Source organism: Homo sapiens, chromosome 7 (assembly GCF_000001405.40).
Source record: "Homo sapiens chromosome 7, GRCh38.p14 Primary Assembly".
Taxonomy (NCBI): Eukaryota; Metazoa; Chordata; class Mammalia; order Primates; family Hominidae; genus Homo; species Homo sapiens.
The window spans coordinates 127,051,803-127,068,411 of NC_000007.14; the positions used below are offsets into that span (position 1 = coordinate 127,051,803).

Genomic DNA, 16,609 nt, shown 5'->3' on the forward strand with positions numbered 1-16,609 from the left:
TATATAGTATTTATAACATGCTGAACAATACTGAATATTGTTTGTGGCATGCCCACATGTAGTAAAATCATAAAGGCATGCATAAGAATGATACATAGCCCTTAGGAAAGAGGAAGAAGGGGAATCAGGGATGTGTATTCATGGGGCTTTACCCATTTTATTTCTTCAAATATCTAAAGAAAATATAGCAATTGGTTAAGATGTGACCTGGGGAGAAAGGGAATAGTTACACATGGGTTTCTTATATGACTTGATGTATTTTTCTGTATAGTTAAAATGTTTCATGAAAATTTTTGATAAGAAAAAAAAATCAGTTGGAGTCTGCTATCAATTTATCCGAGTTGTAAACCCAATTTTGTGTTAGCTCTTTGGTGTTGGGCAGATTACTTTCTCTCTCTGGGCCTTCATTTCCCATTTGCAAAATAGAAGGGGCTGAGTTCAGTGACCTCTGAAGCTCTCTGCCTCTTGCACCCTCTTCAATATATATTGGTGCTCAAATAGAAATACTCTTAGCCCCTTCTCTTTATCCCCTCTATGCATAGGCAACAACCTTCTCAGTAGTTGTTCCCTGTCCAGCTGTCTACCTTAATAGCCCCTTGTTTACAATGGCCCCAGCAAATGGGCTGGGGACTAATAACACATCACAAAGCAGGAATTGTAGAACCTGTGTTTGAAGATATATTTTAAGACAAAGAGAATAAAAATAAAACCAGAAAAGTTTGGTACATAGACAAGCAGTGTAGGATTTAGAAAATGACCTTGAATTTGCAAGCAACCTTTCCTTGAAGGAGAATCTTTTCCCTGAGCAATGAATTTCACTAAGTGAAAGAGAATTTCAAATCAACATTACAGCAATGTTCACTACTTTATTCCTACTCTTTAGGCATCACCTCTATCTCCTTATCGCTCACCCCAACATTAGATATGATTCAATACAACTAACTAGCTTTTTCAATGAAAGAAAGCTTAGTTTCTCATGTTTAGGAACTGATTCCTTTGATCTTCCCTCAAGTTACGACTTACATAGGCAATTCCCTTTCCAAATAGGCTAGTTTGTAGATTCTGTCTTTGAATGTGCTCAGTCATTTCAACAATATTAACATCATAATATTGATGAACTATGCCTACAAAGGGCGACTGATTTTGACTAATTTATTATTTACTACAAAATATTTCCAATGTACAAAAAATATACTCACCATCAATATGTATTTTTAAGTTTTACTAATTTGCACACTCAAATCAGCAGACCAAGTTAAAATGGCATCTTCTACCTTGTGATTTGTGACACCATATCACAAGCTTGAGGGTTCCATGCTCCTTTTTAGGCACTTGGTGAGTGTGATATGGTAGGAAACATATTTAATGTATGGTTTTAGCTCTAAAATTCACTGACTAAGTGGTTTTAGGAAATCATTCAACATCTCTTGGCTTCAGTTTCCTAATCTATGATATAGACAAAATGGACTTTGTTATTTACAAGGTCTCCCCATCTTTGAAACCCCTTGGTTCTATGGAATGACCTAACAAATCCATTGATCTGGCATTGTGGCCAGTCTCAGTCTAAGTTTTGAACTCTTTTGGTTGAGAAATGATAAACTCATTAATGAGATGCAAGCTAGATTCAATGCAGTGTGTATATGTGTGTGTTTATACTTACTTATATTGATTATATACATATATGTGTATTTCATTTAACAGAAGGGGCTGGATGCAGTGGCTCATGCCTGTAATCCCGGCACTTTGGGAGGCCGTGGCAGGCGGATCACAAGGTCAGGAGTTCAAGACCAGCCTGACCAACATGGAGAAACCCCGTCTCTCCTAAAAATACAAAAATTAGCTAGGCGTAGTGGCGGGTGCCTGTAGTTCCAGCTACTCAGGAGGCTGAGGCAGGAGAATCACTTGAACCTGGGAGGCAGAGGTTGCAGTGAGCTAAGACCACACCATTACACTCTAACCTGAGTGACAGAGCGAGACTCTGTCTCAAAAAAAAAAAGGGGGGGGGGAATATACATTTCATCTTGGTTATTATACAAAAAATTCCCAATATCTGGCACATAACAGCATACAGTTAATACTTACTGAATTAACAGGATTCATTTTAAGTTCATACTATTTGATATACTATGCTAGTGACATTAAATGACAATTTCTCTTTTAATCCTTACAGTAACTCTGAGAGGTAGATACTTCTTAACTGGTATAGGTTTACAGTACTACTAAATACGAGTCAGGATTCTAAGTCTGACTTGGCCCATCTCAGTGATAATATTAATACCCAAAAGATAGACATATGCTTTGTAAATTAATTTTATAAGAGCTTCACCCTTGTATATCTAATTACTTCTAACAGGCATTCAACATTGACCTACAACTTTATATTTCTTCCTTAGTACTCCCCTGAAATTTCTTACTATTCACTGTTATGATGTGCCTCGCTGCTGATTAAAAAACTAACTCAAAACTAAAATAATGAGGGCCCAAAATGAGAATTACTTAGTGGGATCCATCCAGACCTTATTCTTATTTAAATAAATACAGTTGACTTTACTACCTGTGAATGACTGACTTTGGAAATTATTTGTGGTACCTATTTTATCCCACTAAACTGCTTAATATATCATATTATGTACATCAACCTCATAACTTTCTTTGAGGGGGTTATTAGTCTGTTTGGTTATAAAATGCAGTCAATAATATGCATTGCATTACAGCAAAACATCTGACAGAAAACAGAAAACAACATACCCAAACAGAAAAGATGGAAAAATGTAGACTGGATGTTAGCGCAACTAGTAACTCGTTGAACATTTGTACCCAAAAGGCTAGTGAATAAGAGAAGAACCTCAACCTGGAAAAAGAATTGAGCCACAGGATTCTGTTCTGGACCTCTTTCTGTTCTCAAATATTATCAATGGCTTAGATAGAAAACAAGGTCCTAAAAATGTTAAGACAAAAACACTGAGTGGGATAATAAATAGGTTGTATAAACCAAAATAGATATGGTAGTGTACAGATATGGGTCAAGTTGAACAAATCAAAATTTAACAGAGATAATCATAAGATCAAAAATAATAATTCTCAAGTGCAGAATGCTAAAAAAAAAAAATAGTTGGCAGCTACCTAGACAGAAACATAGAAACTTTGGTTGGCAATAAATTCAATATGAACCAACCATATGGTATGACTACCCATAAGCTATACCACCTTTAGGTACAATAATAGAAACAAGAAATTTCTGTAATAATAGAAATAAAATTTTCTCAGAGAGGTGAGATTATAGGCCTGCTCTCCTTGCCAAAGATAACTTAATTCCATGCTGCAGATGGATTTTGGTGTTGAACCTTAAAGAAACAGACAAACTGGATATTCAATTTCTTATACCAGAAGAAGGGAACATTTTTTTAAATGATGTTTTTCGTCTACAGAAAAGAAAACTAAAGAAGGACATGGCATCTATCTTTAAATATTTTTTAGGTAGTCTATGGAATGAAAATAGTCTTCATCTGAAGGATCCAAAGAGGTCAAATGAGAATTAATACGCTCAAATAAAGGAGATTGTGACTTGGCACAATAAAGAAATATATGGTATGGACTTATCAGAATGTGAGTTCTCCCATGTTGGGTAGAGGGACAAAAGGCTGAACAACCAATTAGTAGAATATTGTATAGGGAATTAAGTCACTAGTGGGAGCTTTGTCTGAATGAATTTTGAGGTCTCTTGCAAACCTGAAAGAAAATAAATCCATAATCTACAAATGGCCTAAAAGAAAGGTGATTGCAAAAGACTTATTCACATTACTAACGGTCTCAGCAAGATATGGTGTGAAGTCCAATCTGCTACCCATCCCCAAATATTTATATATACACACACACACACTCACATAACACACATATGCTTCTTATCAAGGTGGAAAAAACACCAAAGCCCTCATTAGCTCAGATTCTACTGTTTCAAATGTGTAACAATGCAGAAGAAAATAGGATCAAGGTTTGCTATCTCTAAGGGGAAAAAAAAAAGTTTGCGAAGTGAATTGCTAGGGTAAACAAGATTCTGGGAGGAAGCTTGACCTTACAACCAAAGTCAAAAAAACACACCATTAAAAATAAATAGCTTATGATTTCTGTACAAATAAATCTTCCCAATTTCTCAATGACCCATTCTTTAACTCAGCTCAGGTATGACTGAACAGTTATAAGTCCTTGCTAGCAGTCCTTACTGAATACTACACACACTTGAAAATAATAAAGTTATTAAAATTTTGTTTAATTCAGCTTTCCTTTGAACTAGGCATTCCCCAAGTTTAAATTAGGTTTCATTAATTTAAGTTATTTCAGGAAATTTTTGATGATATGTTGCTCTACATTATTCTTGAGTACAGATAAGCAAGAAATGGCCATAGATCATTCCCAGCCAACACAAAGTAATTATTATCTAGAAAGAGATAAAAGTAATATTATAAGTAAACTATTACCTAGAAAGAGATAAAAGTAAGTAAGTAGTCCAAAACTAACCTTAAAGAAGCAGGAGATCACACAAACAGGCCATAAACTGTAGAAGCACATTAAATCCAAAGCTGCCAAATTCATGACATGCCTGGCAGGTCTGCATGGGTGCACAACCTGAGCAGCTGCCCAGGGCCTGTACACAGAAGGGAGGTACACTTAGCTAATGATCTACTGTCAATGTCTTAAAAGTGTCAATAATTTTTGAACACTGGGCCCCACAGATTATGCAGGTGGTCCTGGAGACTGGCACATAATGGTGACTGAGATATGAAAAGCAAGCAAGTAAAATGTATACACACCGGCAAAATCTAAAAATAGCTCCATTTATTAATGAAAAACAATATCCTGTAATCAAGACACAGCCTGTTGGTTAACGTTATAAAGAATTACTTTGCTTGTTTAATGTGTAAACCAATGATAATTCACAAATTTGCTAATTGTTTTTCTGTAGATGTGAGCTGTCAACCGGTGGAGCTTAAGTATTCAAAAGTAATCAACCACCATTTCAAATTCCATCAAAAAGTCATGTATCACTTTCAGGAGACATGAAATTTTGGTACATTTTTACTGGAGTTGCAGAAGGAGTGATAAAGCAAAAGTGAATTTTAAAACAACAAAGCAATCTCCTCACTTCACCACAGAAAATTAAATGTAGTGAAGCAGCTTTGTGACACTTCAGACTTTTCCAGTATTCTCTGGATTGTGAACTGACAAAGCTACATATGAGTGAAAAAAAAAATTTGAACTTTTGCTCAAATTATATTCACCCTAATGTGGATTGTAAAGTTCCTTTCACCAGTGAGAAACATACAGCTTTATATCCACGTTTACAGAAGAGAAAGAGTTACCAAAACTTTAAATATCAAAAATATTTTTATGCCACTGTCTTATATACTTCAGCATAACTCATTTCTAAACATGTAAATCTAGAAATGAAGCAATCAGAGGGAAAAGTTAAGATGAAGAATCAAACATCAAATCCATCTTGGTTCTAGTCTAACAAATGTTTCCCCACTGGATTTCAAGTTCATGAGTAGAGTCTATGTAGCTCTGGAGAAGGTATTTAATAGTAACCTAGATTTATATAACAACATTTGTTCCAAACAACATTTGCATACATCATATAGTTTGTCCATACAATATCCCTATAAAAACAAGAAAAAAAAAGCATCCTCATCATTTTAAAGATGGTAGAACTGAGGCACAAAACATATAAAGGTTTTTCCAAGATTTCACACATATACAAAGTAAAACATATTTGAAAATCATTTCTCCTTTTTAACATATCTCTATTATTAAAATCTGAGTGCAAGATTATTGTTATAAAATGTATGCCCAGAAAAGATATTAGTTACAATGTAATTTCAATTATAAATCATTTTACCTGGCACTCTATGAGGCACTAAATAATTTTTAACAAATATGCAAATTAAAAGATTATATTTTCTAAATCTCATTGTGAAATTATGTTTAAATTTAGCACCAGCTCATATCCCACAAAAAAAAAAACCTAATATAGGGAAAACTTGTGATAGAAACAGTCTATTAAATGAAATTATATTTTGATTTCTAAAGCTGCCTTGCAAGAACAGAGGTTACAATTTCTAGAAGGAGCCATATACAAATTTAAAAAGAGCCATAATTCATGCAAAGAAACATTTTCTAACCTGTAATTTATAGTTCAGCTGCCTTTCTAAAATCTCAAGCTTTTAGTTAAATAATTGTAGATTTGTTGCTCAGTTTAAAAACCCTTCTGGAATCACGTCTTTAACTGGCGTTGTGACGTCTTACGTCATGATGTTGCGTCACCACGTGATGACGCTGTGCCATCACAACACATCATCGCATATTGACACAATGTCATGGCATAATATCATCAAATTAAATTCATCAGCACTCCCCACAGCCTGGCCCCAGGAAGGGCAAGAGAGCTTTAAAGTTTCTCTTTGTTCTTGTCAACACACTCCTGGTTGGTAGGCGAGAACAGCAACTGGACAAATCATTTCCTGGTCTATTAAAACTTCCTAGATCTCAAATTAGGAGAATTTGAAAGTTACAGCTTAGAGTTGGAGGAAATAGTTTTCACGGGGATAGATTTCATGGCTTGTTACTCACCTTGCCCCATAACTAGTTACACTTGAATCCCATTTTAAAGATAAACATTTATAAATGTTAGTTCCTCCTTTTTTTCCCAGGCCCTAAAATAGGATCATATTTAGGCTGGTGAAAAAAAAAATTAATTTGTTTCTAATTTCTTGCCCTCAATGTCCACCTTCCTCAAATTGTTTTCCTTCACCACAACATTCCTCTTCTATAACATTCTGAAATAGCAAGTAATGGAGGATAGGAGGCAGATCCAGTCAATAGTTTTGACTACAGACATTTATATAAGGCTGGAGGGTGTGTTGAAAGCTGTGAGAGAGGGCCTTTTGCCATCACAGGCTTGGTGACAAGCAGAGTCTCCGTGTTAGCAACTATGATAAACCTGGGCATTTGGATGAAACATTTATCTGAATGTTATCTGAATTAACTTATGAACTCTTCCAAAAATATGTAGTTACCAGTTCATTAAACATAATGGGCGGTTTGTGCAGACTGTCAGTGTGTGACCTCTCTTTCATTAGTTCATTTGCTGTGTGCCAGACACTGTTCTAGGTACAAGGGCTCAGATGAAACAGAAGAAACAGTGTCACCTTGAGGTGCTCACAGAGCAATAAGGGAGACAAGTGAGCAACAGATTTCAAGACAACCTGCTAAGGGCTCTAATGATGATATGACAGAGTGTTCTGAGGACTCAGAAAAGGAAAGGATAATCTAGGGTTGCCAAGAAGATCCTATAGGGGAGAGAACATATTTTTGTATCTTGAAAAATGAATAGGCAGAGAAGAAAAAAATTCCACATTCAAATGCAAGAATTGGACAAGTTGGACATGTGGGAGACACCAAAGTATTAGACTAAATCCGTCATTTTGTAGATGTTTTCTCAAAATGATTGGTTCATATAAATTTTTTTTTTTTGCTTTTTTTTTTTTTTGTTTTTTTTGAGATGGAGTCTTGCTCTGTCACCCAGGCTGGAGTGCAGTGGCGCAATCTCAGCTCACTGCAACCTCCACCTCCTGGGTTCAAGCGATTCTCCTGCCTCAGCCTCCTGAGTAGCTGGAATTACAGGTGCACGCCACCACACCCAGCTAATTTTTGTATTTTTAGTAGAGACCAGGTTTCACCCTATTGGTCAGGCTGGTCTCTAACTCCTGACCTTGTGATTGCACCCGCCTTGGCCTCCCAAAGTGCTGGGATGACAGGCATGAGCCACCGCGCCCGGCCCATATAAATGATTTTTAAGAGGTACTGACTCACACTCATATTACCATAATCCTTCATCATAATTACAAATAGCCTCTAGATAACTCATGAATACGCTGCATCAATGCAGTGGAGTTTTCTTGTAGGAGCATTTTCCATCCATGAGACCAAATATGTTCCTTCTCTCTTTGTAACCAAATAAAAACTGAAAATCAAAGCCACTTGTACTTTCTTGAAAGCATCTGACTAGCCATAAAAACCTTGGCAACTTCTCTTCTGGTGTGTACATAAAGATGGATTAGGAATATCCCTGCTGCTGATTCACCTTTTAAAACAAGCACTGGAAAAACACTTCAGCCCAGCCAATGATAAGTGGTTATATATTCTGACATTAAGCCCCACATGAAAGTCACTGGTAGACATTTTCTACAGCTACCATAATCCTCAAGAGGTGTTTAGAAACTAGACATAACAAAAGAATAAAAACTTGAGGGGATTTCAGTCCTAAAAGACTTCATCTTTCTGAGAATTACATGACATCGAAAGGCAAGTTTTCAAACAAGTTTCTAAAATGTCACTTTTAAGCTAGACAAACACATATCTTTTTAGAGGTTATGAGAGCAATTATTTAAACTTGATAAAATATTTAATGTATGGCTTTGAATCTTTAATGTATGGCCAAATAAATACTCATATATGATATATACACATATATATTCATTAACATATATATTTTATAAAATGATACAAAGAAGAGTACTAGTACCTACACTCCAAAAGACATGCAATAAGTAATAATTTGGTTACAGAAAGAGAGAAAAAGTTTTCAAATAACAATCCTTTTTCACTGATAGTTTATACAAAATTTTATCATGAATAGGATAGTAAGAAACAAGATACAATATGAAATTTGCTTGAATAAGTGATATATTTAGTAAATGGAATACAGAAAATATAGGCAGAATATCTGCTGAAAATAGGAACCCAATGATATATAACAGTCCAATATGGAGTTAGTGAACTTCTTAAGATTTGTTTCTTTAAGAATTATAAGTATGGCATGCCTTTTTTAAATTCCAAATCCAGAAGATAAACAAGAATAGCAACATGAGAAATTCCTAGTTTTTGCAGATTTAGTCAGCTGTATATTAATGTACTTTTCATCTAGATAGAATTTAAGCAACAGATGCATGTAGCAAAAAAAAAAAATTTAACTCATTTTGTGTCTTTCAGAGCAAAGAATCTTTTGTAGTAGAATAATCACCCATCATTTGCCTACTTAGCAAGTTCAGGGTTCCACATATTTGCTTTTTCAAATAGGGACACATTTGTGCAAATGTGTCCAGTTATATAGTGATAGGGTGGCCCTGAAAGTGGGGCTGAACATGTTCATATGAAACTTGCCTGCCTCCATGTTGCACACCTACCTTGTATACCTGAGACAGGTATAACAAACAACTGCACTTATTCTTTCTGTCCCCATAGCTTTTCTTCTACTTCTTTAGGACTCCTAAGATTCACATGAACTGAAGCAAAATATCCACAGAGAGACATTAAACTTTATTTACTTACATGAATAATTTTCTTTAAATCATTGAATTCACAGAAAGGAAGGGGTAAAAGTACTCCTGCTTATTAAGGACTATGCTAGCTACTAGAAATTGTGCTAGGTGATTTACATATGTTATCTCATTTCGTGCAGTTACTTATTTAATGATCTTGAAAAGGAATACAATTATTAACTAATACAAACTACAACATTCAGCTGTTTGAATTAATCTGATAGCTCATCATTTTTAACCAAAAAAATACATTAACATTTTCAAGTGTCTCTATGAACTGGGCATTATTATTTTAAAATTAACCCAACTTATTTTCCCATGGTTACTAGGTGAATGGGCACAGATCAAGCTACCAATTTAATCAATAATTTCTGGCTTTGGGGCCCCTGCAGCAGAATATTCATCTCCACCTTTATCTTCCTTTCCCCCACACCCTTCCTCCCCCTGCTGATGCTTGTGGAAGCTCAAGTTCTACTGTGTTTCCAGATCTTCCTCTACCATCTGGGGTGTTGACTGATATCTCTCTGCTATCGTTACTGATGACAGGACTTTATTAATGTCATCTCAGTGTCTATCTTGTCACTGCTCAATTCAGGCCTGCAGATGCTAAAGTTGGGAAGGATACTTTTCCCACCAGAATGTAAATAGTCTACTGTACTTCCATACTGGATGTTCTTTATTTTTCACACTATAGGAGAGCCCCAGACTGATTAATTAAAGAATCCTAAATTTAAGTTAAAGTTGGTGAATCTCAATTTTCAAAGCAGCTTCTTGACCTCCTTGATGCTGGATCATCCAAAATTTCCTACAGAAGAAAGGCTGCCAGGCGTGGTGATGTGTGCCTGTAATCCCGGCTACTCAGGAGGCTGAGGCAGGAGAATTGCTTGAACCCAGGAGGCAGAGGTTGCAGTGAGCCGATATCGTGCCACTGCACTCCAGCCTGGGCAACAGAGCAAGACTCCATCAAAAAAAAAAAAAAAGGAGAGAGAAAGAAAGAAAAGAAGACGAAAGGCTAATTCCAGGTAATTCAGACAAAGAGATCATGTGGGGAAAAGGCAGATAGCTAAGCTGGTGAAGCCAGGTGTGCAGGAGGATCCCAGCAAATCTGGGGAAACAAACATGACTAAAAAGGATACACCAAGAGAGGAGCTGGCTTGACACAGCATGCAATAGGGAGTCATTGCCATTTATAAAAGAAGGAATGGTGTAATAAAAGCAGCACTGTAGAAGGATTCAGGAGGAATTGGAGGAATTCCAGGAGTCAGGGCCACCATGACACTGCAAGCATGAAAGCTGGGGTTCAGCTGGTGTCAGGGGACATGGGGGTGTAAGAGTCCAACCAGAGATGTTTTCAGCAAAATAAATGTCAGGACTTGTGAACACATTGTATATAAGAAATACTGTAGGAATGGTTGGTACTTTTCTTTATATATCTGGTAGAATTTGACAGTGAATCCATCAGGTCCTGGGCTTTTTTTGGTTGGTAGGCTATTTATTAGATTCAATTTTAGAGCTGGCTTTTGGTCTGTTCAGGGAATCATTTTATTCCTAGATCAGTCTTGGGAGGGTGTAATTGTCCAGAAATTTATCCACTGCTTCTAGGTTTTGCAGTTTGTGTGTGTAGAGGTGTTCACAGTAGTTTCTGATGGTTGCTTTTATATCTGTGGGGGTCAGCAGTAATATTCCCTTCATCATTTCCAATTATGCTTATTTGGATCTCCTTTCTTATCTTCTTTATTACTCTAGCTAGTGGCCTATCTATTTTATTAATTTTTTTCCCACAAAACCGACTCCTGCTGGGTGTGGTGGCTCACACCTGTAATCCCAGCACTTTGGGAGGCTGAGGCAGATGGATCACAAAGTCAGGAGATCAAGACCATGCTGGCTAACACGGTGAAACCCCGTTTCTACAAAAACATACAAAAAATTAGCCAGACATGGTGGCAGGCACCTGTAGTCCTGGCTACTCAGGAGGCTGAGGCAGGAGAATGGCGTGAACCCAGGAGGCAGAGCTTGCAGTGAGCCGAGATCACGCCACTGCACTCCAGCCCGGATGACAGAGTGAGACTCCATCAAAAACAAACAAACAAACAAACAAAAAAGCAACTCCTAAGCCAGGCCAGGTGCCATGGCTCATGCCTGTAATCCCAGCACTTAGGGAGGCCAAGGTGGGCAAATCACTTGAGGTCAGGAGTTTGAGAGCAGCCCAGCCAACATGGTAAAACCCTGTCTCTACTAAAAATACAAAAATTAGCCACTTGTGGTGGCAGGCACCTGTAATTCCAGCTACATGGGAGGCTGAGGCAATAGGATCACTTCAACCAGGGAGGCGGAGGTTGTAGTGAGCAGAGATTGCACCACTGCACTCCAACCTGGGTGACACAGTAAGACTCTGTCTCAAAAACAAACAAAAAGAAAAAATAAATAAATAAACTCATGGTTTCTCATGTCTCCATTTTCTTCAGTTCAGCTCTGATTTTTGTTATTTCTCATCTTCTGCTAGCTTTGGGGTGGATTTATTCTTTCTCTAATTCTTGCAGTTGTGAAATTAAGTTTTTAATTTGAGATCTTTTTGACATGGGCATTTAGTGCTATGAATTTCCCTCTTAAAACTACCTTAGCTGTGTCCCAGAGATTCCAGTATGTTGTTTGTTCTCATTATTTTCAAAGAACTTCTTAATTTCTGCCTTAATTTCACTATTTACCCAAAAGTCATTCAGGAGCATGTTGTTTAATTTCCATTTAATTGGATGGCTTTGAGTGATTTTCAAAGTCTTGACTTTCTATTTTTATTGTGCTATTGTCTGAGAGTGTGTTTGGTATTATTTCAGTTCCTTTACATTTGTTGAGGATTATTTTATGTCCAATTATGTGGTTGATTTTAGAGTATGTGCCATTTGGCAATGAGAAGAATGTATATTCTATTGTTTTAGGTGGAAAGTTCTGTGAAGGTCTATAATATCCATTTGGTCCAATGTTGAGTTTAGGTCTTGAATATCTTTGTTAATTTTCTGCCTTGATGAACTCTCTAATACTGTCAGTAAAATGTTGAAGTTTTTCACTATTATTGCACAGAAGTCTATGTCTCTGTGGGTCTCTAAGAACTTGCTTCATGAATCTGGGTGTTCCTGTGTTGAGTGTATATATACTTAGGTTAGGTCTTTTTGTTGAATTGAACCCTTTACCATTTTGTAATGCCCTTCTTTGCCTTTTTTTATTCTTCGTTGGTTTGAAATCTGTTTTGTTTGAAATTGGGATTACAACTCCTGCTTTTTTCTGTTTTCTATTTGCTTGGTAGATTTTCCTCCATCTCTTTATTTTGAGCCTATGAGTGTCATTACACATGAGATGAGTTTCTTGAAGACAGCATACCATTGGATCTTGCTTTTCTATCCAGCTTGCCACTCTGTCCCTTTTAAGTGGGGTATTTAGCTATTCAAGGTTAGTGTCTGACAAAGGTCTAATATCCCACATCTATAAGGAACTTAAACAAATTTATAAGAGAAAACCCCATTGAAAAGTGGGCAAAGGACATGAACAGACACTTCTCAAAAGAAGACATAAATGTGGCCAACAAGGATATGAAAAAAAGCTCAATATCACCGATCATTAGAGAATTACTAATCAAAACCACAGTGAGATACCATCTCATACCGGTCAGAATGGCTATTAATAAAAAGTCAAAAAACAACAGGCTGGCAAGCTTGCAGAGGAAAGGGAACACCTATACACTGTTGGTGGGAGTGCAAATTAGTTCAACCATTGTGGGAAGCAGTATGGCAATTCCTCAAAGAGCTAAAAGCAGAACTACCATTCTAACCAGCAATCCCATTACTGGGTATACACCCAGAGGAATATAAATCATTCTACTATAAAGACACATGCATATAATAAATTTCATTGCAGCACTATTCATAATACCAAAGATGTGGAATCAATCTAAATGTCCATCAATGACAGATTGAATAAAGGAAATGTAGTACCATATATACCATGGAATATTATGCAGCCATAAAAAAGAACCAGATCATGTTTTTTGCGGGAACATGCAATAGCTGGAGGCCATTATCCTTAGGCAAACTGATGAAGGAATGGAAAACCAAATACCACATGTTCTCACTTATAAGTGGAAGCTAAATAAGAATTTATGAACACAAAGAAGGGAACAACACACACTAGAGGCTACTTGAGGTGAGAGAGTGGGAGGAGGGACAGATGCAGAAAATATAACTACTGGGTACTGGGCTTAAAACCTGGGTGATGAAATAGTATGTACAACAAACCCCATGACACTTGTTTACCTCTGTAACAAACATTCACATGTACCCCCAAACCTAAAATAAATTAAATGTTTTAAAAAAAGAAATGCTTGGAAGCTAAAAAGACAAGCACAACTCCAAATAATTTGAGGATGAAAGATAAGAAGAGTGTTGGGCTACTGACAAAAATGAGGATGTCAGAGGGCTGTGGTGGTGGAGATGGAAAGTGGTTTAATTTAGATGTGAGCAAGTCAAGATCACAGCAGACTGCCCAAGTGGAATTCTCATTCTTTTGTTACTGCCACAGTTGCAGAGCCCACCAGCGAAGTCTGGGACAGAGATGGTGGGGGCACCTATTTCCCAGCACAAACCTTTTCAACAACTACTAAAATTCCTGGTCAAAATGAACCAAACCTATTCATTCTTTCATTTAAAAAAAATTAACATGTCTTTCCCTGTAAAAAAAAGAAATGAATTTTTCTCTTTCTTACTCAAAAACTGATCTTCAGAAAATCATTGAAATCATTCACGATTCTGAAACTTTTGCTGAAAAGCTTTGATGTATTAAAAAGAATAATTACTTAAAAAACAGATCCTTTGACACTCCAGATTGGAATTTGATGACTTTTTTCCCACAGTGATTCAATTAATTGGTTTTTCTTAATGTTTAATGGTAGCAAAGTCATCACATTGAAGAAACCTTATGTCATTTATCAGCTTCTTCTCCAGAGCCCTGAGAACACCTGATGATTATTTCAATCCAACCAATCACTCACTGAACACATAATCATGAATAATTTAGTAGAGCAATAGATCCATTACTTAATATAGTGCTAACCTTTTATAATGCTTATACCTGGGGAGAGGACTAATATCTGTGTCACAGAATAACTGATATCAGGCCTTGGGTTTTGAAGGTAACATTGTGACTTATGGAATATCTAAACGCATGCAATTATAAACCACATTATGGGAAAATAGTTAACCTTTGTGTAGCATTTAAGAGTTTACAAGGTACTTTCTCAGACATTATCTCATTTGATACTCAAATCAAACCTGTGAGAAAGGTATTCTTTATTTTTTTTTAATTTAACTGACACATAATTGTACATATTTATGAGTTATATAGTGATGTTGTGATACATAGAATGTATAGTGATGAGATCTGGGTAATTAGCATATTCATCAACTCAAATACTTATCATTTCTTTGTATTGGAAACATTCAATATCCTGCTTCTATTTGAAACTGTATATTATTAACAGTAGTCATCCTACAGTGCTAGAGAACACAAACTTATTCCTCCTAGCTAGCTGTAATTTTGTAAGCTTTAACAAATCTCTCCCCATGTCTCCTTTCCCCCTACCCTTCCCAGCCTTTGCTAGCCTCTGCTCTACTTTTTTCTTCGATTAGATGAATCATTTAGCTTCCACATATGAGTGACAACATGTGGTGCTTAATGTTTTGTTCTTGGCTTATTTCACTTAACGTAATGAGGTATTATAAGTGAGGACAGCAGGGCTCAGAGAGGCCAAGTGGTTTGCCTAAAACTGCCTAGCTATTAAGTGGCAGAGCTGAGATTCTCCCCCGACAGTCTGTGCTGTCTCTTGTACCAGTATTCACTCTGATGTGATAAAGGCCCAAATGCCAACGGGCTTTCTAAAGTAGGCTCTCTCCATTCCACACAGCACCAACAGCCTACCCATGTGAGGGCCCTGTTGCCCTTCATCTTTGTTGACCACCTCCCTCTGGTGGCCAAGAGTTCTCACATGAGAACCTTCAAGAGGAGCATCATAAACTACCATTTCTAGAGCAAAAAAATGCTTGTTTCTCAGGAACCAAATCACACATGAGCATTTCTGCAACATATACCCATCATCCTGTAGCAAAGGAAGCCACACATCTGGTAGTAACAGGTGCCGTATTCTTTTTTTAAATGATTCCTGCCATGTGACAGTTCATGTAAACAGCACACAGAATTCTACCCAATCAAGAATTACTCTTTATTTAAAATTCTTAAAGGAGACTTGCCTTGCTGTAAGCTAATTTTGTGAAAGTTTGTTTTGCCTATTCAATATTTAGCTTGATTTCCGAAACTATCTGGAACAGTCTTTACTAGGTTTGTCTGTTTCTCTCTCTGAGACTGCCTATAATAGATAAAAGCAATGCTTTATTTCCATAATCTGCTCTTGAGAGTTCCTCATTATGCTTAAATGTCTCCCCTTTGTTTTAAAGGGTATTATCCTGCATTCAATGCAAGAAATTAAAAGTGTCATTAGATAAAACTGACATTTCTTTTATAGCAAAAGTAAACTCAATCCAATTTAGAATAGTATGTCAGGTTCCATCTTTACTTGTTAGATAAATCACTGTTACAATAATCTTCATTTTCATCTTATTATTATTATTTAAATTTTTTACTTACAAATAACAGCACTCCAAGGATCATGTAAAACTTGAATTTAAACAAAGTTCTGGGAAAGGTGGCTAGTGATTCAGGGAGAACAGCAAAGGGAGATATGGTTTATAATTACACCTATTTAGGTAACTGTGCCAAATCCCTTTAGACCAGTGAAAGCACACAACAGAGCAGATCCTTTCCCACTAAATAAACAATAAATAAATAATTTACCATGATATGGTGAGCCTTGAGTTTTCCCCCATTCCTTCCATCCCTCGTATTAGTCAAGGATAATTTCCTGAAATATCTAGTATTAATGAAACTCTTTTATGAATCAAAATTGTAATCATTTAGAATCTGTGCTCAAAAGATGTGGGTGGTTTGATAGTCAAAATCACATTATTTAGGGGAACTTGTAGCCAGCATTCCAAATTCAATTTATTAACTCCCTCATCAATAGCCAGAGTATTTGACAATTTATTCAAAGCTTTCAAACATAGCAAGAGACAATAAGAATGCCGTGCCTAGTGCTAAGGGGATTCCAGGCACATTATCAGAATGGGGGCTTGCAGTGT

At 36.5% G+C, this 16,609-nt stretch overlaps 1 protein-coding gene and 1 non-coding gene across 24 annotated transcripts in view; both read right to left on the minus strand.

The window, feature by feature from the left end:
• Nucleotides 1-16,609, minus strand: part of GRM8 (glutamate metabotropic receptor 8) — an 814,344-nt gene that overhangs the window by 613,205 nt on the left and 184,530 nt on the right. The gene's annotated exons all lie outside the window — the stretch shown is intronic.
• On the minus strand, nucleotides 6,286-6,382 carry MIR592 (microRNA 592). Its single transcript, NR_030323.1, has one exon. It is a non-coding gene; the product is annotated as a microRNA 592 (primary transcript).